This window comes from Homo sapiens, chromosome 8 (assembly GCF_000001405.40).
Source record: "Homo sapiens chromosome 8, GRCh38.p14 Primary Assembly".
Lineage (NCBI taxonomy): Eukaryota > Metazoa > Chordata > Mammalia > Primates > Hominidae > Homo > Homo sapiens.
The window spans coordinates 102,922,560-102,946,387 of record NC_000008.11 but is presented as its reverse complement, the minus strand read 5'-3'; the positions used below and the strand labels follow the sequence as shown (position 1 = coordinate 102,946,387).

The 23,828-nt window shown below is 46.1% G+C and overlaps 1 long non-coding RNA gene and 1 pseudogene across 2 annotated transcripts in view, besides 2 other annotated features; one reads left to right on the top strand and one right to left on the bottom strand.

The window, feature by feature from the left end:
- The window catches only part of MAILR (macrophage interferon regulatory lncRNA), a 113,606-nt gene that overhangs the window by 31,489 nt on the left and 58,289 nt on the right, over positions 1 to 23,828 (bottom strand). The gene's annotated exons all lie outside the window — the stretch shown is intronic.
- Positions 14,672 to 14,771: an enhancer, noted in NCBI's record as "active region_27784". NCBI's record gives its function as "activates an Ori minimal core promoter by ATAC-STARR-seq in GM12878 lymphoblastoid cells {active_cell/tissue: GM12878}" and the evidence as "EXISTENCE:reporter gene assay evidence [ECO:0000049][PMID:35858748]".
- Positions 15,970 to 16,089: an enhancer, noted in NCBI's record as "active region_27783". NCBI's record gives its function as "activates an Ori minimal core promoter by ATAC-STARR-seq in GM12878 lymphoblastoid cells {active_cell/tissue: GM12878}" and the evidence as "EXISTENCE:reporter gene assay evidence [ECO:0000049][PMID:35858748]".
- RPL5P24 (ribosomal protein L5 pseudogene 24) lies at positions 22,059 to 23,075 on the top strand (annotated as a pseudogene).

Here is a 23,828-nt window from a genome sequence, read left to right as displayed (position 1 = left end):
GATTTTCTCTCCCAAGTCTCATGATCCCACTCCTTGAGGCCAGTTGAAGAAGATTAATCAGACCATGATTCAGCGTGCAGTGAGGTGCTTTTAAAGACATCACAAGTTTCTAACGTTGTCCCTAGCACAAGGCCCTTTTAATCTTTGAGGGGAATTCTCATTTTGGAAGACTAGATGAGAGGCAGGACACTTCCTGCCACCATGGAAGCTGGAGGATGGTCATGCTAAATCAATCAATCAGATACTCACAGCAGGACTTGGCCTCTTGATGCAATAGTGGAGGGAGGGGTATTTTTCAATAGGGCAGCAGCAGGCTGAGGGTCTACTGGGTGGTGAGCAGAGGTTCTAGTACCTGCAACAGCAACTCAGCCAGATTGTGACTGTGGTTTGACTTTATTCCTGCTGCTTAGCTCTTATGTCTTTTTTTTCCCCCGAGACAGAGTCTCACTCTGTCGCCCAGTCTGTAGTGCAGTGGCGCCATCTCAGGTCACTGCAACCTCCACCTCCCGGGTTCAAGCGATTCTCCTGCCTCAGCCTCCCAAGTAGCTGAGATTACAGGCATGTGCCACCACGCCCAGCTTATTTTTATATTTTTAGTAGAAATGAGGTTTCACCATGTTGGCCCAGCTAGTCTTGAACTCCTGACCTCAGGTGATCCACCCACCTCGGCCTCCCAAAGTTCTGGGATTACAGGCGTGAACCACCACGCCCAGCCTCTTATGTCTATTTTCTGAGGCAGATTCTCTATCCCTCCCATTGATTCTGTGCAATACAATATCCTCCCAGTACATTCCAGCCGAGAGTCAGTTTCGGCAGCAGACACTGTGATGGGCTCTCCACGGTTCCCTTCCAGTCTGAAGGACTTATTCTCTCAGCTGTTGAGTGGGCTGCTGGCAGACAGCCCTCAGCTGTCAGCCCTCTTCAGCATGGCCTCAGTGAAGAGGGTCTCTTTACCTAAGGTTACACCCCCTCACTGGAGCAATCTGAATCCAGAGGCTGGTCAACATAGGTCATAAGGCCCCCTTTCCCACTCAAGAGGGGTTGTCAGATAACATGATACTCAGTTAATTTAAATTTCAGATAAACAGTGAAAAAGATATATGTATGTTGAAAGTATTACACGGAGCACACATATTAAAAATTATTCATTGTTGGCCGGGCGCGGTGGCTCACACCTGTAGTCCCAGCACTTTCGGAGGCTGAGGCAGGTGGATCATGAGGTCAGGAGATCCAGACCATCCTGGCTAACACAGTGAAACCCCGTCTCTACTAAAAATACAAAAAGAAATTAGCCAGGTGCGGTGGCAGGCAGCTGTAGTCCCAGCTGCTTGGGAGGCTGAGGCAGGAGAATGGCGTGAACCTGGGAGGCAGAGCTTGCAGTGAGTCGACATCGTGCCACTGCACTCCAGCCTGGGGACAGAGCAAGACTCCGTCTCAAAAAAAAAAAAAAATTATTCATTGTTTATCTGAAATTCAAATTTAACTGGACTTCCTGTATTTTTATCTGCTAATTCTGGCAACGCTACGCTCACGACAACTCTGGCCATGGTAGCCTTGAGCATCCATGGGACTGGCTGAGGCCTACACTGAGACTTCATTGCAGCCCCTCTCCTCCTTCTGCCCACTCCTGCTTCCATCTCTTTTTTTTCTTTCTTAGGTGGTGATCCCAGGAGCACTTCCTAACGTACCTGCTGCAAGCTGTTCTCCATTTTATTTATTTAATTTTTTTTTTGAGATGGCATCTCGCTCTGTCACCCAGGCTGGAGTGCAGTGGTGCAATATGAATTCACTGCAACCTCCGCCTCCCAGGTTCAAGCGATTCGCCTGCCTCAGCCTCCCGACTAGCTGGGATTACAGGCACCTGCCACCACACCTGGCTAATATTTGTATTTTTAGTAGAGATGGGGTCTCACTATGTTGGCCAGGTTGGTCCGGAACTCCTGACCTCAAGTGATCTGCCTGCCTCAGCCTCCCAAAGTGCTAGGATTACAGGCATGAGCCACCACACCCGGCCTGTTCTCCATTTTAGAGCCTGGTTCCCAAGCAATCCAAACTGTGACAGTTTCTCTTCCTTGCAAAAGGGTGATCAATTGTCCTGGTATGCCCAGGACTGAGGGAGTTCTTGAGATAAGATGATTGCCCACCTTGCAACCAAGAATTCTAAGAGATATAACTCTCAATAGCTTGGGTGACCAAAAAGTGTCACTGTTTATCACCCTTTGAGGAGTCTGTGATGTAAATAAAAATATATTTGGTCTTTGCCCCACTGCCTGGCACAGAGCTTTTAAAACTTTTGGCATTTCCTGAATGATGGGAATGTCTTTTGTTACCCATGACAAGCTCCTTTTTTTTTGAGATGAAGTCTCACTCTTGTTCCCCAGGCTGGAGTGCGATGGCACGATCTTGGCTCATTGCAACCTCCGCCTCCCGGGTTCAAGCAATTCTCCTGCCTTGGCCCCCCGAGTAGCTGGGATTACAGGCACTTGCCACCATGCCCAGCTAATTTTTGTATTTTTAGTAGAGATGGGGTTTCACCACGTTGGCCAGGCTAGTCTAGAACCCCTGACCTCAGGTGATCCACCCGCCTCGGCCTCCCAAAGTGCTGGGATTACAGGTGTGAGCCACCGTGCCCGGCCACAAGCTCCTTTTGATAACACCTGAGTTTATGCTAGCAAGGTAACTTAGGGTGGGGCCTCCAGATAGCATCAGGATGGGGGCTGGTTACCAGAAAGACCAAGTGTTGGGAGGGTTGTCATTTTCTTTTTTTTCTGAGACGGAGTCTCACTCTGTCGCCCAGGCTGGAGTGCAGTGGCGTGATCTCTGCTCACTGCAATCTCTGCCTCTTAGGTTCAAGCGATTCTCCTGCCTCAGCCTCCTGAGTAGCTGGGATTACAGGCACGCACCACTATGCCCAGCTAATTTGTTGTATTTTTAGTAGAGATGGGTTTCACCATGTTGGTCAGGCTGGTCTCGAACTTCTGACCTTGTGATTCCCCCTCCTCGGCCCCCCAAAGTGCTGGCATTACAGGCGTGAGCCACCGCACCTGGCCAAGGGAGGGTTGTCATTTTCAACCCTACCCTCTGACCTCCTGGAAGGAGTAGAGGGGCTGGAGATAGAGCTCTACAAAAGTTCTGCATGAGATGTGATGAGCTTCCAGCTTGGTGAACACATTGAGGTGCAGGGAGGATGGTGTGCCTGGAAGGCCATGGGAGCTCTGCATACCCCTCCCCTCCCCATCCCATGTCTTGCCCTGTGCATCCCTTCCATTGACTGTTCCTGAGTGGTAGCCTTTATAATAAACCAGTAAATGTAAGTAAAGTGCCTTCCTGAGTTCTGTGAGCCATTCTAGCAAATTGTCAAACCTGAGGAGGGAGGCATGGGAGCCCCCAATTTGTAAGCTAGTTGGTTAGAAGTACAGGTGGCCAACCTGAGGTCAGGAGTTTGAGACCAGCCTGGCCAACATAGAGTAAAACCCTGTCTCTACTAAAAAATAACAAAAAATTAGCTGGGTGTGGTGGCACACACCTGTAGTCCCAGCTACTCAGGAGGCTGAGGCTTGAACCTGGGAGATGGAAGTTGCAGTGAGCCAAGATTGTGCTACTTAACTCCAGCCTGGGTGATAGAGGGAGACTCCATCTCAAAAAAAAAAAAAAAAAAAAAAAAAAAAAGAAGTAAGTACAGGTGGCCCAGACTTTTGATTTGGGCATCTGAAGTAGGGCAGTCTTGTGGGATTGAGCCCTTTACCTTCTGGGATCTGACACTAACTCCAGGTAGATAGTGTCTGGATGGGATTGGATTGGACTGGATTGGATTGGATGGGATTGGATGGGATTGGATGGGATGGGATGGGATGGGATGGGGTGGGATGGGATGGGATGGGATGGGATGGGATGGGATGGGGTGGGATGGGATGGGATGGGATGGGATGGGATTGTTGGACACCCAGTTGGTGACAGCAGTGAATTGGAGAATTGCTTGTGTGGAAAAACTCCACACATTTGGTATCAGAAGTGTTGTATGAGAAGGGCAAAAGAGTTTTTCTTTAGTGCCTAATGCTCACTGTAGGCTAGCCACTCCATCGGCCTAGGCTTTTGCCATGTTATCTTTGTTCAGTACTCCTCAGCCCTGCCAGGACCAAATATTTGTCCTGAATCCCAGCCCTTTCCTCTGAGGCCCTAAGATCCTGCCTTCTCGCACATGAGGTCAAATCCTATGTTGTCTAGGACCCTGAAGCTGTTACTTCCTGAGTTGGACAATTGTCTAGTGGTTAGACATCCCCTCTTTTAACTGTAGGATTGACTTATCCATCTCCCACCCCACTCTTATGACTTGCCTTCAACTATACGTGAGATTTCTGTTGATTGATAGTTCAGATGTCTTCTGTAAGGCCAGGCTCTCTCCTTCCAGAGTTGTCTTTTTCTCTGTCTCAATAGCCCATGTTTCTGAGGCCATATGCCTGAGCATCCCTATGTTATGGATAGAAGCATGAGAAGGGTGAAAAAGTATACAGACTCATGTTTCCAACAACATTAAGTGAACACTTCCTATATGCCACACACTGCACTAAGAGCTTCCTTCATTCATTTAAGAAAGTAATTGATTGCCAGCTATGGGGCAGGTACTACGCAAATGGCATTAGGGATATATCAGTAAACAGGAAGATAAGGTATCTGCCCTGGGGAGCTTACTTTCTATTGTGGGATGTAATCGATAAGCCAGTGTAGCCAGTGCTGTCCTGGTCCTGTTGGCTGGATCCTACACTGTTTCTCTGTGCCTCTCCCCCAGCTCCTGTGTGTGTTTTCTGCGATGGCCGCACCTGCAACTTTCCAGAGACATGTTCTTGGGCAGCTGGAGGAAGATGGAAGTGCATGGGAGTCTATCCCACTCTAAACCCTACCCCAGTGGCCCTTAGCCACTGACTGACTGCTACAGGAATAAAAACACAGTTTATTTGCTTCAAGTTGGGATAAACTCCAAGGCAGAATTTATACTGCAGAGCTCCCCTGTGGGATCAGGTTTAAGCTGAGACTCTGCCTCAAATCCCACCCGCACTTTCCTCCTTGCCTACCCCTGTCCTGCTCCCCCACTCCCTTACTGGCTGCCCCTCCTTAATAAATCACTTGCCCATGTATCCTCATCTCAGGATCCATTCTTAGAAAGCCTGATATAAGACAGCAAGTCCTCAAATAGATAATGATAAGCTGCAATTCGTCTATGAGGAAAGGAGTGTTGTGATAGAGAACGATGGAGGAAACTACATTAGACAGGAAAGGCAACCCAAAAAGGGGATATTTCAGCTAAGAAGGAGCCAGATACATGAAAAGCCAGGAGAAGAGTATTTCTGACAGAGGGAATGGAAAGGGCAAAGGTCTTGAGGCATGAAAGAAGCAGGCATTGCATGGTGGCTCATGCCTGTAATTCCAGCACTTTGGGAGGCTAAGGTGGGCGGATCACTTGAGGTCAGGAGTTCAAAACCAGCCTGGCCAAGATGGTGAAACCCCATCTCTACTAAAAACACAAAAATTAGCCAGGCATGGTGGTGTACACCTGTAATCCCAGATACTCAGGAGGCTGAGGAAGGAGAATTGCTTGAACCTGGGAGGCCGAGGTTGCAGTGAGCCGAGATCACATCACTGCCTCCAGCCTGAACGACAGAGTGAGACTCCATCTCCAAAAAAAAGAACCAGGATTTAGGAACAGAGAAGCCCATACATCATCTAATTTATCCCCAACAGCCCTTTAATCAATGTGGAAACTGAGGCAGGAGAAATGAAGTAACTGGTTCCAGATTACCACCGACACACAGTATTGGAGAATTGAAACCCTGATCGGAATACTGACCTTGGTGACTCTGGGCTGTCACAGCTGGCCACCAGAGTCTTATTTGCATGAGAGGCCCTCTGTCCCCAGGGAGGAAGATGGGGGAGGGCTCATAATAGATGCCGAGGTTTAAAGAAAAGGAGGAGATAAAAGAGGAGACTGATCAGGGGGCTCACCTTGGAAGTTATTTTTAACTCTTATCAGAGGTTGGCTGAAAAATGCATCTAACAAAATTACCTTCCATTTGGGACAAAAAAGTGATGCCTCTTTGCAGCTGTGGGAGAAATGGTGGGTAGGAGGTGGTTGGGGTCGCAGGCTCACATGGCCAGACTCCAGGGGACCCTTTCCCCCGAACCCCTTCCGCTTCAGCACTACCAGGCCCCTCCCCCAACCCCCACGTAGCCCTCACTCCAGCAGGACCATTACCTGCTGCTTCATGAGCACAGCAAGCTCTTTGAGGCCTTTGTCCAAAGCACAGGCTGTTACCTCTACTGGGGGACAGGGAGCAGGGTTCCTTCCAACCCTTTACCTGCTGGCAACACCTCCTTCACTTTTAGGACTTAACTCTAAAATTAGCTTCCTTGTGAAGTCTTCCCCCCTCCCAGGCAGTATTAGTCATCTTTCTGTGTTTCCAAAATGTTCTGTTTAGACGTGTGTTATGGATTTCACTACCCCTGTTTTTCAGGTAGGGAAAATCTGAGCCTAGCAGCAACTGAACTTTGAGAAAAAGTTGTAGGGCTGGCAGTGAGCACTAGAAAATTCTGTATCATAAGAGCCAGATGGGGCAAGAGAGTTCCTGATGACCCATGCAGACCCGACTTCTTGAGGACAGGGGATCCAGGAAAGATGGCAGTGAAGGCAGAAGAAGGGAAGGCCCATTTAAGAGGCTACGTAGGTCATTTAACTCTACTTCTGAAACCTTTTCCTACTGAGATTCACAAATTAAAATTAATTTTTTTTTTTTTGAGATGGAGTTTTGCTCTTGTTGCCTAGGCTGGAGTACAATGGCGTGATCTCAGCTCACTGCAGTCTCTGCCTCCTAGGTTCAAGCAGTTCTCCTGCCTCAGCCTCCCGAGTAGCTGGGACTACAGGCACACGCCACTAAGCCCGGCTAATTTTTTGTATTTTAATAGAGACAGGGTTTCACCATGTGGCCCAGGGTGTTCTCGAACTCCTGAACTCAGGCAATCTGCCCACCTCAGCCTCCTGAAGTGCTAGGATTACAGGTGTGAGCCACTGCGCCCAGCCTAAAATTATTCTTTGATGAGCCTATTCTCTGGAACTACTAAGAGGGACTGTGGCCATGAATAACTAGTTCCATTTGTCTGCTTTACTTATGAAAATCCTCAATGTGGCTCTCCACCAAAGTATCCTGAATTAGTCTTGTGTGTCTGCACATGACACTATGTGATCCAAACTAAGAAGAACTATTCCCTGCTTTATGTCTGTCACTGGTTTCCTATTAAAGTTTGCATTAGTAGCAACTCCCATTTTTGTAGTACTTTACAATTCACAAACTATCATATTGTTTCAGTTTAGTTTTCACACTGTAGGGACCAGGGGAAAAAATTCCCCTCTGCCCTTTAAAGAGTCACTGAAAGTCACTGACAAGAGGCAAATTGATAGGAGAAAAGGCATACAAATGTATTTGATCAGAGTTGTATGTGACATGGGAGACTTCAGAATGAAGACCCAAAGATACAGAAGACGCTGCCCATTTTTATGATCAGGTTTGAAGTATGGACAGCTGTGTAGAAAAGTGATTGGACAAAAAGGGGTGATCTAATGCTCACAGGCTGGGGAAACTGAGCCAGCCCTGTCTAGATTCTTATTGGCCTCTCTGTGCAGCATTCCTTCCTTCTGGGTATGGAGCAGGGCCCTCTCTGGAATGAGGATCCAATAACCTACAATTAAATAAGACAGGTCAGATAACTTCTTTAAGGCCAGTTTTTACACAAAAAGGCTGGTGAGGGTAGAGAGGTAAGGTTAGAGTAATATTTTTAGGTTTTATGGTGGGCTTTGAGAGAAAAGGGGTTCTGGTTTCTATGATCTCTCTTGGAGATGAGAGCTTCTAACTTTTTCTTTCTTTCTTTCTTTCTTTCTTTCTTTCTTTCTTTCTTTCTTTCTTTTTCTCTTTTTTTCTTTCTTTCTTTCTTTCTTCTTTCTCTTTCTCTCTTTTCTTTCTTTTCTCTTTCCCTCCCTCCCTTCTTTCCTTCCTTCCTTCTTTTCTTTCTTTCTTTTTTTTTTTTTGACAAGTCTCAGTCTGTTAGTCTGTTGCCCAGGGTAGAGTGTAGTGGCACGATCTCGGCTCACTGCAACATCCACCTCCCTGGTTCAAGTGATTCTCGTGCCTCAGCCTCCTGAGTAGCTGGGATTACAGGCATGTGCCACCATGCCCAGCTAATTTTTTCATTTTTAGTAGAGACGGGGTTTCACCATATTGGCCAGGCTGCTTTCAAGCTCCTGACCTCAAGTGACCCATCAGCCTTGGCCTCCCAAAGTGCATGCATGAGCCACCGTGCCTAGCCAGAGACTCTAGTTTCTGTGGCTAGCCTAGTGGCAGAATGAGGTGCCAAGGACAGAACAGGATAAGGTCAGAGAAAAACTTTTGCTTCTGAGGGCTTCATTTTGGGTATCTTTTTCTGAGAACTTACAACACAACATCAGAATAATGCTACTGTACACCCATGTGATAGATGAGGATATTGAGGCTCAGAGAGGTAAGGTGACTAGCCTGGCAGCTACCTGGCAGGAAGTAGCAGAGCGAGAACTTCACCTACACTTCACCAATTTTAAGTCCAGTACTTACCTAAGAACTTCCAACAGATGCTCCCCTGAGGCGAAGACTGGTTTCCAGAATTCCACTCTTCTACAAGCCTGAGAAAATTCTAATTGCTTGACCTTCAGAACTCAGGAAGACCTTTTTTGACTGTGGTTTGTGTCCTGGCCAAAGAAAGCATTATTACAGGAGCAGTATGCAGCATGCCCTAACCAAACCAGGAAGAGCTCCATCACAGGTTGATAAATAACCCTGCTTCCATGAAGGAGAGATGATTCCAAAGAAAATAAACATACAGCAAATTGCTCCTTGTCGTAGGAAAGTTCCAGAGTATGGGCACAAGAAGAAGAATTTCCTAAGGAAGGAAGAAAATGGTGTTGGGGGATAGGAATAGAAAGTATTATGAAAAATAACTAATAAGAAATAGGGAAGGAGCAACAATCAGGATGGAATCATTTGCAAAACGAAGAAGTAGAATGTGGTCCAAGGGAAAGCCCATTCAATTCAGAAATTAATATTTATTTAACAATCCAAAAGTAAAAATGAAGAAATTTGAGGCTCTTAAGTAAATTAATGTGCATTGAATCCCATGGGGTGATTGTGCCATGGGAGACACCAATGACAAGAGAGGAAAGTAGTGGTCATTATAGCTACATTTATTAGTTCTTGCTATGTGCCAGGTGCTGTCCTGTGACTTCAAAGATATAATTCCAGCCAGGTATGGTGGCTCACCCCTGTAATCCTAGCACTTTGGGAGGCCAAGGTGGGTGGATCATGAGATCAGGAATTCGAGACCAGGATGGCCAATATGGTGAAACCCCATCTCCACTAAAAATACAAAAATTAGCTGGATGTGGTGGTGCGTGCCTGTAATCTCAGCTACTCGGGAGGCTGAGGCAGGATAATCACTTGAATTTGGGAGGTGGAGGTTGCAGTGAGCTGAGATTGCACCACTGCCCTCCAGTCTGGGCAACAAGAGCGAAACTCTGTCTCAAAAAAAAAAGAAAAGATATAAGATATAATCGCATTAAATGTGCACAATGATCCTCTTAGCATTTTGCAAATTGTACAAATGAGAAGCTAAGGCAGGTCGCTTAGCTAGTCGGTGATGAAGGTAGAATTTGAACCCAAGGCTCTTGAGCTGAAAATCTTCAACCCTATCTTTTATCACCTCATGGAGAGTTGCCTGCTTCAATGATTTAAAGTTTACATGTTTAGTATTCAGATTGCTGCTTAAATCCAATGAATTCTACAGTGATCCTAGCAAATGTATGTGGAGTTGAGGGGGGTGTACAGGAGGATTCTCTGGATAAGAAATAACAGAAACACAACTTAAACATTAGTTTAAACTTAAGCTAAAAGGGAATTTTTGGTTTTATTTTTTGAGATTGAGGTCTCACTATATTGCCCAGGCTGGTCTCAAACCCCTGAGTTCAAGAGATCCTCCCACCTTGGTCTCCCATGTAGCTGGGATTACAGGCATGAACCATTGCACCCAGCTCAAAAGGGAGATTTTTGGCAGCAGGCTGAGGTGGCTTCCAGAATGAAGGGTGAATTTGACAGCTGAGCCTTGGGAGGTCAGGAAACAGAGAATCTCTGAGATTTCAGCTCCTGAAATCAGGAATTTGAAAGCTCTCAGGACCCTCCCACTTCTCACCCTGTTTCTCTCCTTGGGTGGGCTGCTTCTTCTATTGCAAGACAGCTCCTTCACGGGGTAAGGGATGGCCTCTGATAGCTCTGGACTTCCAGCCAAGCAAGCAACTTCACAGAGTGGGGAAAAAAGCCCTCTTCTTTCCCAACTTATTTTCCTGTTTTTCCCAAGTAAAACCTTTTGGAGGGAAGAACCATGATTGGTCCAGCTTGGGTCATGTGCTCAACCATGGGCCAATCACTGTGGTCCTGGGGGTGAGGTTCTATGATGTCACCTTCCCCACATACTAGGGTCACATGGGGTTTTGATGGAGCCTTTCTCAGAAGGGAGTTGCTGTTCTGAATAGTCAAAACTATAAGTGTCCATGAGAAATCGGACTACCAGCAAGAAAATTACAAACATCAGAAGAGATGCAAAAAGAGGTAAGATCAAACAGTTTGGTAGCAGAATAAAATGCTCAGTAGACTTTCGAAACACTATATCACGAAAACAGGATTTGGGCACAAGGAAAGGAGATTTATTTAACAATGTAGGGGGCATAAAAAGCAATTTAAGAGATGAGTTAGGATGCCGGCTCTGAAACCTCCAAATAGTTCTATTATGAAGAGAGATGCATTCTTGGAGAGTTGACTAATACAGGGTTCGTGCTCCTAGTTTGTGCCTACTAAATATTAATTCATTTTGATGGCAGGTTTTATTAAGAATTATTGCTTAGAGCACTTACATATTTATAACATATTTTAGCAGAGTAATTTGCATATATAAAGCTCTGCATAAATGCAAACGATAATAATGACAGTGTTGTTGGGCTTATATTTACTCTTTCATACATGCATTTATTCATTCATCTCTTGTCTACCAACTGAGTGGATACTCTATTCCAGGCACTCTGTTGGACATTCCTAGCTTCTGCCCTCATGATGTGTCTTAGTTTGCTCAGGCTGCTATAATGAAATACCATGGATTTGGTGTTTTAAACAATAGACATTCATTTCTCACAGGCCTGGAGTCTAGGAAGTCTAAGATCCAGGTGCTGGCAGGATGAGATCATGGCAAATTCAGTGTCTGATCCCATCATGGGGATACCACACTTGATATGGTTTGGTCCTGTGTCCCTACCCAAATCTCATCTCGAATTGAAATCCCCACATGTCAAGGGAGAGACCTGTAATCTCCACGTGTCGAGAAAGGGAAGTGATTGGATAATGGGGACGGTTTCCCCCATGCTGTTCTCGTGACAGTGAGTGAGTTCTCATGAGATCTGATGGTTTTATAAGGGGCTCCTCCCACTTCACATGCAAGCTCTCTCTCCTGCTGCCTTGTGAAGAAGGTGCCTGCTTCTCGTTCTGCCATGATTGTAAGTTTCCTGATGCCTCCCCAGCCATGCAGAACTGTGAGTCAATTAAACCTCTTTCCTTTATAAATTACCCAGTCTCAGCCGGGGGTGGTGCCTCACACCTGTAATCCCAGCACTCTGGGAGGTGGAGGTGGGCAAATCAACTTGAGGCCAGGAGTTCAAGACCAGCCTGGCCAACATGGTGAAACCCCATCTCTACTAAAAACACAAAAAATTAGCCAGGCATGGTGGTGCACACCTGTAATCCCAGCTACTCGGGAGGCTGAGGCATGAGAATTGCTTGAGCCTGGGAGGCGGAGGTTGGAATGAGCCGAGATTATACCACTGCACTCCAGCCTGGGAAATAGAGGGAAAATAAAATTTTATTTTATTTATGTATTAAAAATAAATAAAATAAATTATCCAGTCTCAGGTATTTCTTTATAGCAGAGTGAAAATGGGCTAATACAACCCTCATGACCTAATTACCTCCCAAAGGCCCCACCTCCAAATACTATCACACCGGAGATTAGGACTTCAATATAAGAATTTTGGGAGGATACAAACATTCAGTCCATAGCAAGGTGCTTAGAGTACAGTGGAGGAGACAGAGCTATGAACAGATTATGTCTAGATAGGTCTATAGTGGACACTGTGGTGCACTGCCCAGATCACCGCTTCAAGATGGAGACACTCTTCCTCCCTATGCAGAGTTGCCCATTAAAGACTCAGATGAGTCCATCCCCAGGAATTGCCCTTGGCTGAAGGGAGCTGTCTTCCCCAAGGTTAATGCCCCTTCCTGGAATTGGGGCAGTCTGCATCCAATGACTGGCCAATGACTGGCCATTGAGGGAGTACCAAGGCCAGTCTCCTTGTCTCAACTGGAGTAAACACTGAAAGGTTACCCAGTCAGCTGAGGCCTCTGCTGCAACTGCACCACAGTTCAACTCTTCCTTTACCCAGTTCTGCTTCTCTCACTCCCTTATAGGTGTTGTTCCTGAGAACACACTCCAAAACATCCCATCTGCATATAAATCTCCATCTCTGAGTCCATTTTACAGGGAACCCCACCTAAGACAAGATGCAGCTTAGAAAATTATTATTAGGAAAAGCTGTCCTATTCACAGTTGCCAGAGCCTACTTTCCAAATAGAAAACACTAGTTACCTTGGAAGAAGTCTTTGGAGAAGAATCACCAGGATGGCTTATCTACATTGTATAAATATAGAGAAGGAGGCACCCATTACCTGGGAGAAAGAGGGGACAGAGTATTTGCAGTGTGAGAAAACCTGGTCCCAGTGTACAGAGCTGGTCTGTTGGGGAGAATGTGGATAATTTTGCATAGAGGACAAGAAGCTTCCTGGGAGGGGAGGAATGGAGACCTGGAACCCTCTCCCTTTTGAGGTTTATATAACTCCTCTGATAAATGGGGCAGTCCCAACTGAGGTCCCCTGGTGAGAAAAGAGAAAAAGGCTCTAGAGAAGAACTCACTAGGAGCAAAGGAGAAGTCCCTGGGAAGCCCCTCACGTCCCAGTCATCCTGGTGTGAAAGTGGGCTTTGGGGAAAAGAATGATCATAAGATTGTAAGTTAAAGAGCCAAAGAGGGAAAGATTTCTAACAAGACAACACTGAGGGCATGGGATCACCTTCCCCCCGAGGACCTCTTGGCCGGTGAGGAATATTAACTTGAAAGACTGTCATCTCAGCAGCAGCAGACAAGCACATACTGGACTACAAAACCAACTTTTAATACCAGCACTGTAGAGTAGTAACAGAATCAACCACAGTGGAAAACAGGGGCCTACTGGAAACTGGTGAGAATTTCCAGTTCTAGTTCTCTAATGTGAGCCACTAGAGTTTCCACAAATTGGCGAAAGGAGGCTGTTACCAATTTATTTAACACTCAAAAAGAATGTGATTTTATTGGTACTTTAATCTGGTGAGGGGGGTCATATGGTTACAAGTAATTCCAAAACAAAGTGAATAGTACATTAGGAAGAGGAATGGCTGGGCACGGTGGCTCATGCCTATAATCCTAGCAATTTGGGAGGCTGAGGGAGGTGGATTGCTTGAGACTATGACTTTAAGACCAGACTAGGCAACCTAGCAAGACTGTGTCTCTAAAAAAATTTTTTAAAAATTAGCCGGGTGTAATGGTGCATACCTATGGTCCCAACTACTCAGGAGGCTGAGATGGGAGGATTGCTTGAGCCCAGGAGTTGGAGGCTGCAACGAGCTGTGATTGTGCCACTGCACTCCAGCCTGAGCAACATAGTGAGACCCTTTCTCAAAAAAAAAAAAAAAAAAAAAGAAGAGCATGACTACTGCCAAGGAGGAAATCTTCCCAGAGGATATGAACCAAGCTAAGTCCTGTAGGCTTAAGAGGAGTCCCCAGGGGGATTATGAGGTGTGGCCATTCATCAGAAGGGCATCCTAGACTTTTCAGGACCAAAGCACAGAGGTGAGAAGAAGCACTGTCTCCTGTAAATAATCTACATGGCTCTAGAGCCCAGGAGGCACTGTAAGCAGGATGAGATGATGGAAGGCCCTAGCAGCCATGATCAGACATGTAAACTTGATTCCCATGACCCTGGAGTTCAGGACTGAAGGATAAGTAAGGGAATGAAGAAGGCCCTGCTGGGATTGAAGCAAATCTGTCAAACTGAGTCTATTCCCAACTAAAGGAAGTAACGGTCAACCAGCTTCTGCCAGTTGTTGCCATGGAAGGGTACAGACCCAGGGTTAGCAAATCTTCGAAATCGTCAAGAAAAGCTGGAATTCCCAATATTTATAAGACAGGCCCAGATTTTTTAAGTTGGCAATTATTCCAAAAACAACGACAACAACAACAACAAAAAACAAAACCACTGAGGGGGCTAAACAAAACACCTTTAGATGCAGTCAAGGGCCTCCAGCTCACCACCTCTGCTGGACTGAAGGGAGCTCTCAGGCAGAGAAATGGAAAGTTCAGATTTGCATATTTAGTCACTCTTGGGCAGTATGATTAGAGGGAGTAAGAGACTAGAGATAGGCAGTCTGGTTAATTCAACAACAGACTTTTTGAGACCTCTGTGTGTGTGACAAGAGCTGGAGTCACAATAGTGAGGTTTTGGAACCTCAAGTCTGGTGTGGGAGAGCAACTTAATGAACAGTCCCACAAATGTGTAATCACGCACTATGAGTGTACTCCAGGGAAGAAAAGAGTAAGGCCCAAATTGTGGGGAAATATGGAAAAGAACAGACTAAAGAGCTATTTTGGAAGTTTGGCAACAACTTAGATGGGGGAGAAAAGAAAGGGCATTTCAAGGTCTTACCCGGGTGAGTGGGTAGATGCCGTTGTGGAAAGAAGCAGAAAAAAGAGCATGGGAAACCCTGTCACTATTGAGAGTTACATAAACAGAGGAAAATGTGGTTTAAACAGATGATGACGCAAAGGAATGAGTGAAGTCCTACATTTTCATTTTTGTCCTCTTATGGAGGCTTCCAAACTGCCATATTTGCTTCTTTCTGGAGATAAACCTGCCCTGCCTGTCTCATAAGGCACTTATATTAGTCAGGATTCTCCAGAGAATCAAAACCAATAGGATCTATGTTCATATCTATATTTATTTATTTGTTATAAGGAGTTGGCCCACATGATTATGAAGGTTGTTGAATCCCCAAATCTGTAGTCAGCAAGCTGGAGACCCAAGAGAGCCAAAAGTGTGGTTTGAGTCTGAACGCTGGCAGGCTAGAGACGCAGGACAAACCAGCATTTCAGTTCCAGTCTGAAAACAAGAAAAAAAGCCAATGTCCCAGCTTGAAGACAGGCAGGAGGAGTTCTCTCTTGCTCGTGGGAGGGTCAGCCTTTTTGTTCTATTCAGACCTTAGCTGATCGGATAACATCCATTCGTATTGGTAAGGGGGAGTCTGCTTTACTCCATCTACCAATTCAAATGTTCATCTCAGGCCGGGCGTGGTGGCTCACTCCTGTAATCCCAGCACTTTGGGAGGCCAAGGCAGGAGGATTGCTTGAGCTCAGGAGTTCCACCAGCCTGGTCAACATGGTGAAACCCTGTCTCTACAAAAAAATACAAAAATTAGCCAGGCATGGTGATGTGCACCGGTAATCCCACCTATTCAGAAGGCTGAGGCAGGAGGATCACTTGAAACCAGCAGGCGAAGGTTGCAGTGAGCCAATATCATGCCACTGCACTCTAGTCTGGGTGACAGAGCCAGACCTTGTCTCAAAAAAAAAAAGTTAATTTCCACCCAAAACACCCTCCCATACACCCCCAGAATACCTGACCAAATGTCTGGGCCATCATCTTCTCTCTCCTGGGCTACTGCCATGGCCTCCTAACTGGACATGATGTTGTCTGTGCTGGCGATTTATCTGTGATCTCCAAGATATCTTTCTATGCTCTTCTCTGTAATCCTGGGGTTGGGATGATGCAAACGAAATCTCTCCACCTCCCAGCTAGCTGGCTTCCTGTTAGGTTTTCCAATCTGAGGCATTAGAAGGAGATCACAAAGCAGAAGAAAAGAAGGGACTTCTACCTTGTTTTCCACTTCCTGTTTTCAATTTTACTTCAGTAGCAGCACATAACTGGCCCTAGCTCCAGCTTCTGAGTATTCTCAGTACCAACCTTGCTGTGCCTCCCCTCAAGCCCCAGGTGCCAGCAGCAGCCATGCCACACCCCCTCACCTGCTGGGCTGCACCCCAGGGAGGTCTGAGCACCTGTAGAGCCACGCCCCTTTGGTGGAAACACCAGCCAGACAGCAACCCCCTCATCCGAGATCTGAGCCAGGCAGAGCTGTCCTCAGAAATCCAAGCACCAGCCCCGTGGGGCCCCTCCTCCAAGCTCCTCAGTACAGGCAACTCCACCTGTTCCCTCCTGTTGGTCAGCCTTGGGAGCGAGAGCTGCTTCCTGCAGTTATTAATCCCTAGGTTACCTAGCCTCTTCCTTTTTCCTTTTACTCTTTCAGCCCTCTAATGCCTGTGAAACCAATTCTTTATATTTACTGAAATACCTACAGTGTCTTCTGTTTCTGACTGGCCAATGGCTGATAACCCTTTTAAACCATTTTCCATTTAGCAGACTTTTGAAATCCATTTTCCATTTACCAGTTATCTTTTGAAAATGTGGCTCACTCCCCCGCTGTACTAGTCAAGGTGCTGGGTTTCAAACAACAACTTCTGGCTAATGTTTAAACAGAGGAGGGATTTATTGAAAGTGACTAGGGAGCTCAGAGAATCAAGAGGAAGACTGGAGAACAAGGTACCAAGTAAGGCTGTCACAGCAAAGCTCCCAGCACGGCTTGCTATGCCACTGATACCATACCACAGGAGACATACGGGCAGCCAGGTGTCAGTGGACATTGGTTGCCATATGCTGGACTCTGCTGCCACGGCACACTCATTCCTGGGCGCTCCTGACCCCACCACAGCCACCCTATTAATTTCTTTTTTTTTTTTTAATTTATTTATTTATTTTTTTTTATTGATCATTCTTGGGTGTTTCTCGCAGAGGGGGATTTGGCAGGGTCATAGGACAATAGTGGAGGGAAGGTCAGCAGATAAACAAGTGAACAAAGGTCTCTGGTTTTCCTAGGCAGAGGACCCTGTGGCCTTCCGCAGTGTTTGTGTCCCTGGGTACTTGAGATTAGGGAGTGGTGATGACTCTTAAGGAGCATGCTGCCTTCAAGCATCTGTTTAACAAAGCACATCTTGCACCGCCCTTAATCCATTTAACCCTGAGTGGACACAGCACATGTTTCAGAGAGCACAGGGTTGGGGGTAAGGTCACAGATCAACAGGATAAGAATTTTTCTTAGTACAGAACAAAATGAAAAGTCTCCCATGTCTACCTCTTTCTACACAGACATGGCAACCATCCGATTTCTCAATCTTTTCCCCATCTTTCCCCCCTTTCTATTCCACAAAACCGCCATTGTCATCATGGCCCGTTCTCAATGAGCTGTTGGGTACACCTCCCAGACGGGTTGGTGGCCGGGCAGAGGGGGTCCTCACTTCCCAGTAGGGGCGGCCGGGCAGAGGCGCCCCTCACCTCCCGGGCGGGGCGGCTGGCCGGGCGGGGGGGCTGACCCCCCCACCTCCCTCCCGGACGGGGCGGCTGGCCGGGCGGGGGGCTGACCCCCCAACCTCCCTCCCGGACGGGGCGGCTGGCCGGGCGGGGGGCTGACCCCCCAACCTCCCTCCCGGGCGGGGCGGCTGGCCGGGCGGGGGGCTGACCCCTCAACCTCCCTCCCGGACGGGGCAGCTGGCCGGGCGGGGGGCTGACCCCCCAACCTCCCTCCCGGGCGGGGCGGCTGGCCGGGCGGGGGGGCTGACCCCCCCACCTCCCTCCCGGACGGGGCGGCTGGCCGGGCAGAGGGGCTCCTCACTTCCCAGTAGGGGCGGCCCGGCAGAGGTGCCCCTCACCTCCCGGACGGGGCGGCTGGCCGGGCGGGGGGCTGACCCCCCCCACCTCCCTCCCGGACGGGGCAGCTGGCCGGGCGGGGGGCTGACCCCCCAACCTCCCTCCCGGACGGGGCGGCTGGCCTGGCGGGGGCTGACCCCCACCTCCCTCCCGGATGGGGAGCCACCCTATTAATTTCTAACTGACCTTACCTCTTGGAAGATGACCTCATGATTCAAAGTCCCAGGTAGGAGCATCTATCTGATTGACGTTGCTCTAAGTGCCAGGGGGAAGGGGAGAGAAACCATCTTTTCTATTCATTTCTAAGTTGTAGCTTCAATAGTGGAACTGATGCCTGATATGCCACAAGTTTTGTGATTCCCAAAAATAAGAAGGGCTTTTCAATGCCCAGGGTGGTAATTATCCAGTATGTTGCCTAAAACCATCCAATAGCTTCCCCTCTCAGAGTAAAAGTCCCAAAACTGGCCTTGATGTATGGTATGACCTGGCACCACCTAACTTTCTGACCTCATCTCATGCCAATCTTCCATGCTCATGTTTCTGTCACATGGGGTTTCTGTCTGTCCCTTAAGCAAGCCATGCTTATTCTGACCCCAGGGAATCACCGTTCCCTCACTCTGGAAGATGCTTCCTTCTTGCCTCCAAGCATCAGCTCAGATATCTTCTCCTCAGTGAAACCTTCCTAAGGAAGCCTCTACCACATTCCTCTTCTCTTTGTAGCACTTGTTTGCACGTGATCTTTTCTTGTGTGTTGATTTGTTAATTACCTGCCTCCCGTGTCTGGAATGTCAATTCTGTGATGTCTATTCATTGCTGCTGCATCCCAGCACCTGGGAGAGTGGCTGGCTCTGGCAGGTGCTTACTGTTTGTTGAATGGACAGACAGCTAGATGGCTCAATTCTGTTTATTAAAGAGTCCTGCTTGATAAAAGAAAAGCAAAACAATGTTCTAATGAAAACAATGGCAAGTGAGATTCCATGGATGCTTTTTAAAATAATTAACTTTAGAACGCATCCATGACATTTATTTTGGAGGTTTCACTAAGGAATTAGGGCTTTAAGGTGGACCCTAATGAGGCTGTTTTAATCTTCGGGAGAGACTATGGTTTCCTTCTCATGGCAACCAGCTAGGAGTCCTCCATTTTATAAATTAAAGCAGAAGGTAAGGTTTAGGTAAGGAAAGCCACAAAACATACCACATTCATACTGAGTATGGGTTTATTTTTCATTTTTTACTTTTTGGTTTTTTGTATTTTGGCTTTTTTTGAGACCGAGTCCAGGCTGGAGTGCAGTGGGGTGATCTCGGCTCACTGCAACCTCCACCTCCCAGATTCAAGTGATTCTCCTGCCTCAGCCTCCCACGTAGCTGGGATTACAGGCAGGCACCCCTACACCCGGCTAATTTCTTTGTATTTTTTACAAAAAAGTACTAAAAAAGAGATGGGGTTTCACTATGTTAGCCAGGCTGATCTTGAACTCCTGACCTTAAGTGATCCACCCACCTCAGCTTCCCAAAGTGCTGAGATTACAGGCCTGTGCCACCATGCCCGGCTAATTTGTTTATTTTTTAGTAGAGACAGGGTTTTGCTGTGTTGGCCAGGCTGGTCTCGAACTCCTGACCTCATGTGATCCGCCCGCCTCAGCCTCCCAAAAAGCTGGGATTACAGGTGTAAGCCACCGCACCTGGCCTTATTAGCTGTGTGTTGTTGGCTCTGTCACTGCTAGCTATGTGACCTTGGGCAAGCCACATAACCTCTCTTTGCTTCAATTTCCCGTTTGCAAAATGGGAATAATAACCGCATGTACACATAGGGCTGTTATGAGGACTGAATGAGTCAGTATGTAGAAATCACAAGAAAAGTGTCTAGCATATAGTTACCTTTGATAAAGTATAAGTAATATAAGCATAAGCCAGTATTATGGTTTGGATCATATTTGTATGTTGATAAGAGCAACTTCAACAAGATAAAAGTTTATATATCTTTCAGGGGCCAGGTGCGGTGGCTCACTGTAATCCCAGCACTTTGGAGGCAGACGTGGGCAGATCACCTGAGGTTAGGAGTTAGAGACCAGCCTGGTCAACATGGTGAAACCTCATCTCTATTAAAAGTATAAAATTAGCTGGGCATGGTGGCAAGTGCCTGTAATCCCAGCTATTTGAAAGGCTGAGGCAGGAGAATCGCTTGAACCCAGGAGGCAGAGGTTGCAGTGAGCCAAGATCAAGCCATTGCACTCCAGCCTGGGCAAAAAAGTGAAACTCTGTCTCAAAAAAAAAAAAAAAAAAAAACCAAAATGTTTATATATCTTTCAAATAAAAGAAGTCGGAGGTAGGCAGCCCAGGGCTGGTATAGCAGCTCCTTGGTCACTGGGGGCAGAAGCGCTGTCTTCCTCCACCCCTCTACCACCATTGAATACATGCTTTATATCCTCAAAGTCCAAGATGGCTGCCAAAGCTCACATCTGCATTGTAGGCACCAGAAAGTAGGATGGGAGAAGGGTAAATAGGGACATACCTCACAGCCAAATCAATACCCTATAAGAAACCTTCCCACGGGGCCCTAGATAGTTCTTTTATTTGCATCTCTTTGGCTACAACTTAGTCGCATGGCCACACATAGCTGTCAGAGGTACTGGGAAATTTATTTTCACTGGATGTGAACACTCCAAATAAAGCTGAAATTCCGTTACAAAAGAAGAAAGGAAAAATGGATATGGGCCTTATGTAAGTTATTTAACGTCTCCAAATTTTAGTTTTTTCCTTTTAAAGTGGGAACAATAGAACATGCTTCATACAGCTGTCTGGAAGATTACATGAAGAAAGCTTAAAAACTGCTAGCACAGCCATGACACACACTAAGTAAACATTAGCTGTTATCACAAGGAGGAAAAAATGTATCTCTGCATGCTTTTAAAAATAAGATACACAAAACCAAATGGAACAAAAAGAAGAAAAAATATTCCCGCACAAACTACTCGGTAACTTCAGAGAGAAACCTACTCTATCTGTGGGTTTCTTCCACCTTTTTGTTGCTTTGGCCTTCTTTATCTCAACTGACTCTCAGCTGACAAAGTTCCAGTTTTAAATATCATATCACCCTGCTTTGCTGCTTACAAAGGGCCACTGTGTCTGGGCGGGCCGTCTCAAACTCACTGTTCTGAATCTTTCCAGTCTCGCCCACCACCCAACTGCTGTCTAACTGTGCCCAGTGTTCTCACCCAGTGGTTCATAAGCCCGGCTGACCTTAAGAGTCACTTACCTGAAGAGTTCTGTAAAAATACAGACTCCAAGTTCCCACCCCAGAAATCAGCCTGAAAAATTCCCCTACAACCGCCTCAGCTGTGTCAAACTGCCTTGGGGTTTTCTTGGACTAAGTGACTCAGCAACTTGAATGTTTATAGAGTACAGATGAATATATCTTGTAACACAAACTAATTGTTACCAGGAGCCAGGCACTGATCTAAAGCACTTTACATGGACTAACTCATTTAAGTTCTATTATTCCCCTTTATATAGATTAGAAAACCAAGGCACAGAGAGGATAAGCGACTTGCTCAAGGTCACACAGCAAATGGGGAACTGGGAGCTGAGATTTAAGCCTCAGCCTGTACACTTCACCTGTATGCTCTACCACCCTCCAGTCTATATTAAACAGTGAAGGCACTCCAATACAAATTACAAAAAAATTTTAACAGACTTCCTCCTAGCATTTATTAAGTAAACTGACAAATATTCTTATATCAATTGATATTATTCTTATGATTATTTGTTTTCCCAAGAACTTATGGCATAGACAAGTCTGTTATAAAAGTATTTCAGGTAGCCATCAAAATGGTGTTAAAATTATATTTTTATGTGTGCATAGGTACCCAGTGATGCTCTTTATGTAAAGAAATATATCTGCACAAACATATATACACATACACACTGTATATGCCTATAGACAGTCTCAGGGGAAACAGAGAAGTGTGACAGCTAATTCCGGAGGTAACATTTTGGTGGATATTTCTTTCCCTCTTTAAATTTATTTGAAATAAACATTTGAATTTTGTGCCTTTTCTGCCCCCAGCACTGCTGGGCCTGCAAGGTCTCTGTTGAGCAGCGGATGCGGGTCTCTGTTCCACAGGATGGAGTTTGTTGTTCAAGTTGTTAAGAATAAGGCCTACTTTAAGAGATACCAAGTGAAATTCAGAAGACAACTAGAGGGTAAAACTGATTACTATGCTCACAAACGCTTGGTGATACAGAATAAAAATAAATACAACACACCCAAATACACGTTGATAGTTCGTGTAACAGATATATCATTTGTCAGATTGCTTATGCCTGCATAGAAGGGGATATAATAGTCTGGAGCATATGTACACAAACTGCCAAAATATGGTGTGAAGGTTGGCCTGACAAATGATGCTGCAGCATATTGTACTAGCCTGCTGTTGGCCTGCAGGCTTCTCAATAGGTTTGGCATGGACAAGATCTATGAAGGCCAAGTGGAGGTGACTGGAGATGAATACAATGTGGAAAGCACTGATGGACAGCCAGGCACCTTAACCTGCTATTTGGATGCAGGCCTTGCCAGAACTACCACTGGCAATAAAGTTTTCGGCACCCTGAAGGGAGCTGTGGATGGAGGCTTGTCTGTCCCTCACAGTACCAAATGATTCCCTGGTTATGATTCTGAAAGCAAGGAATTTAATGCAGAAATACACCGGAAGTACATCAAGGGCCAGAATGTTGCAGTACATGTGCTACTTAATGGAGGAAGATGAAGATGCTTACAAGAAACAGCTCTCTCAATACATAAAGAACAGCGTAACTTCAGACATGATGGAGGAGATGTATAAGAAAGGTCATGCTACTATACGAAAGAATCCGGTCTATGAGAAGAAGCCCAAGAAAGAAGTTAAAAAGAAGAGGTGGAACCGTCCCAAAATGTCCCTTGCTTGGAAGAAAGGGTAGCTCAAAAGAGGGCAAGATTCCTCAGAGCTCAGGAGTGGGCTGCTGAGAGCTAAATCAAACAACTTTCTGTGAGGATTTTTCAGATAAAGACAATAAACTTATTGACAGCAAAAAACAAAAACCCCCTCAAATTTGAATTTTGTTAATAAAAATTTCCTAAATTAAAAAAATAAGATGTTGTATGTATTTTGAAGCAAAAGCTTTGGGAAATAATAAATAATGCCTGTCTGTTTTCTTGGAGAGCCTTGCAAACCCTTCATTTAAAATTTCTCCATCCTGGCTAACACAGTGAAATCCAGTCTCTACTAAAAATACAAAAAATAAAAATAAAAATAAAAATAACCTCGGTGTGGTGGCAGGCGCCTGTAGTCCCAACTACTGAGAAGGCTGAGGCAGGAGAATCGCTTGAACCCAGGAGGTGGAGGTTGCAGTGAGCTGAGATTGTGCCATTGCACTCCAGCCTGGGTGACAGAGTGAGACTCTATCTCAATAAATAAATAAATAAATAAATAAATAAATAAATAAATAAATAAATTTCTCAGCCTGGGCAATATAGTGAGACCTTGTTTCTACAAAAATAAAAATAAAAAAATGAGTCAGGGGCCGGGCACGGTGGCTCATGCCTGTAATCCCAGCACTTTGGGAGGCCGGGGTGGGCAGATCACAGGAGTTCGAGGCCAGCCTGGCCAAAATGGTGAAACCCTGTCTCTACTAAAAATACAAAAAAAATTAGCTGGGCATGGTGACGTATGCTTGTAATTCCAGCTACTCGGGAGGCTGAGGCAGGAGAATTGCTTGAACCTGGGAGGCGGAGGTTGCAGTGAGCCGAGATCGCACCATTGTACTTCAGCCTGGGCGACAGAG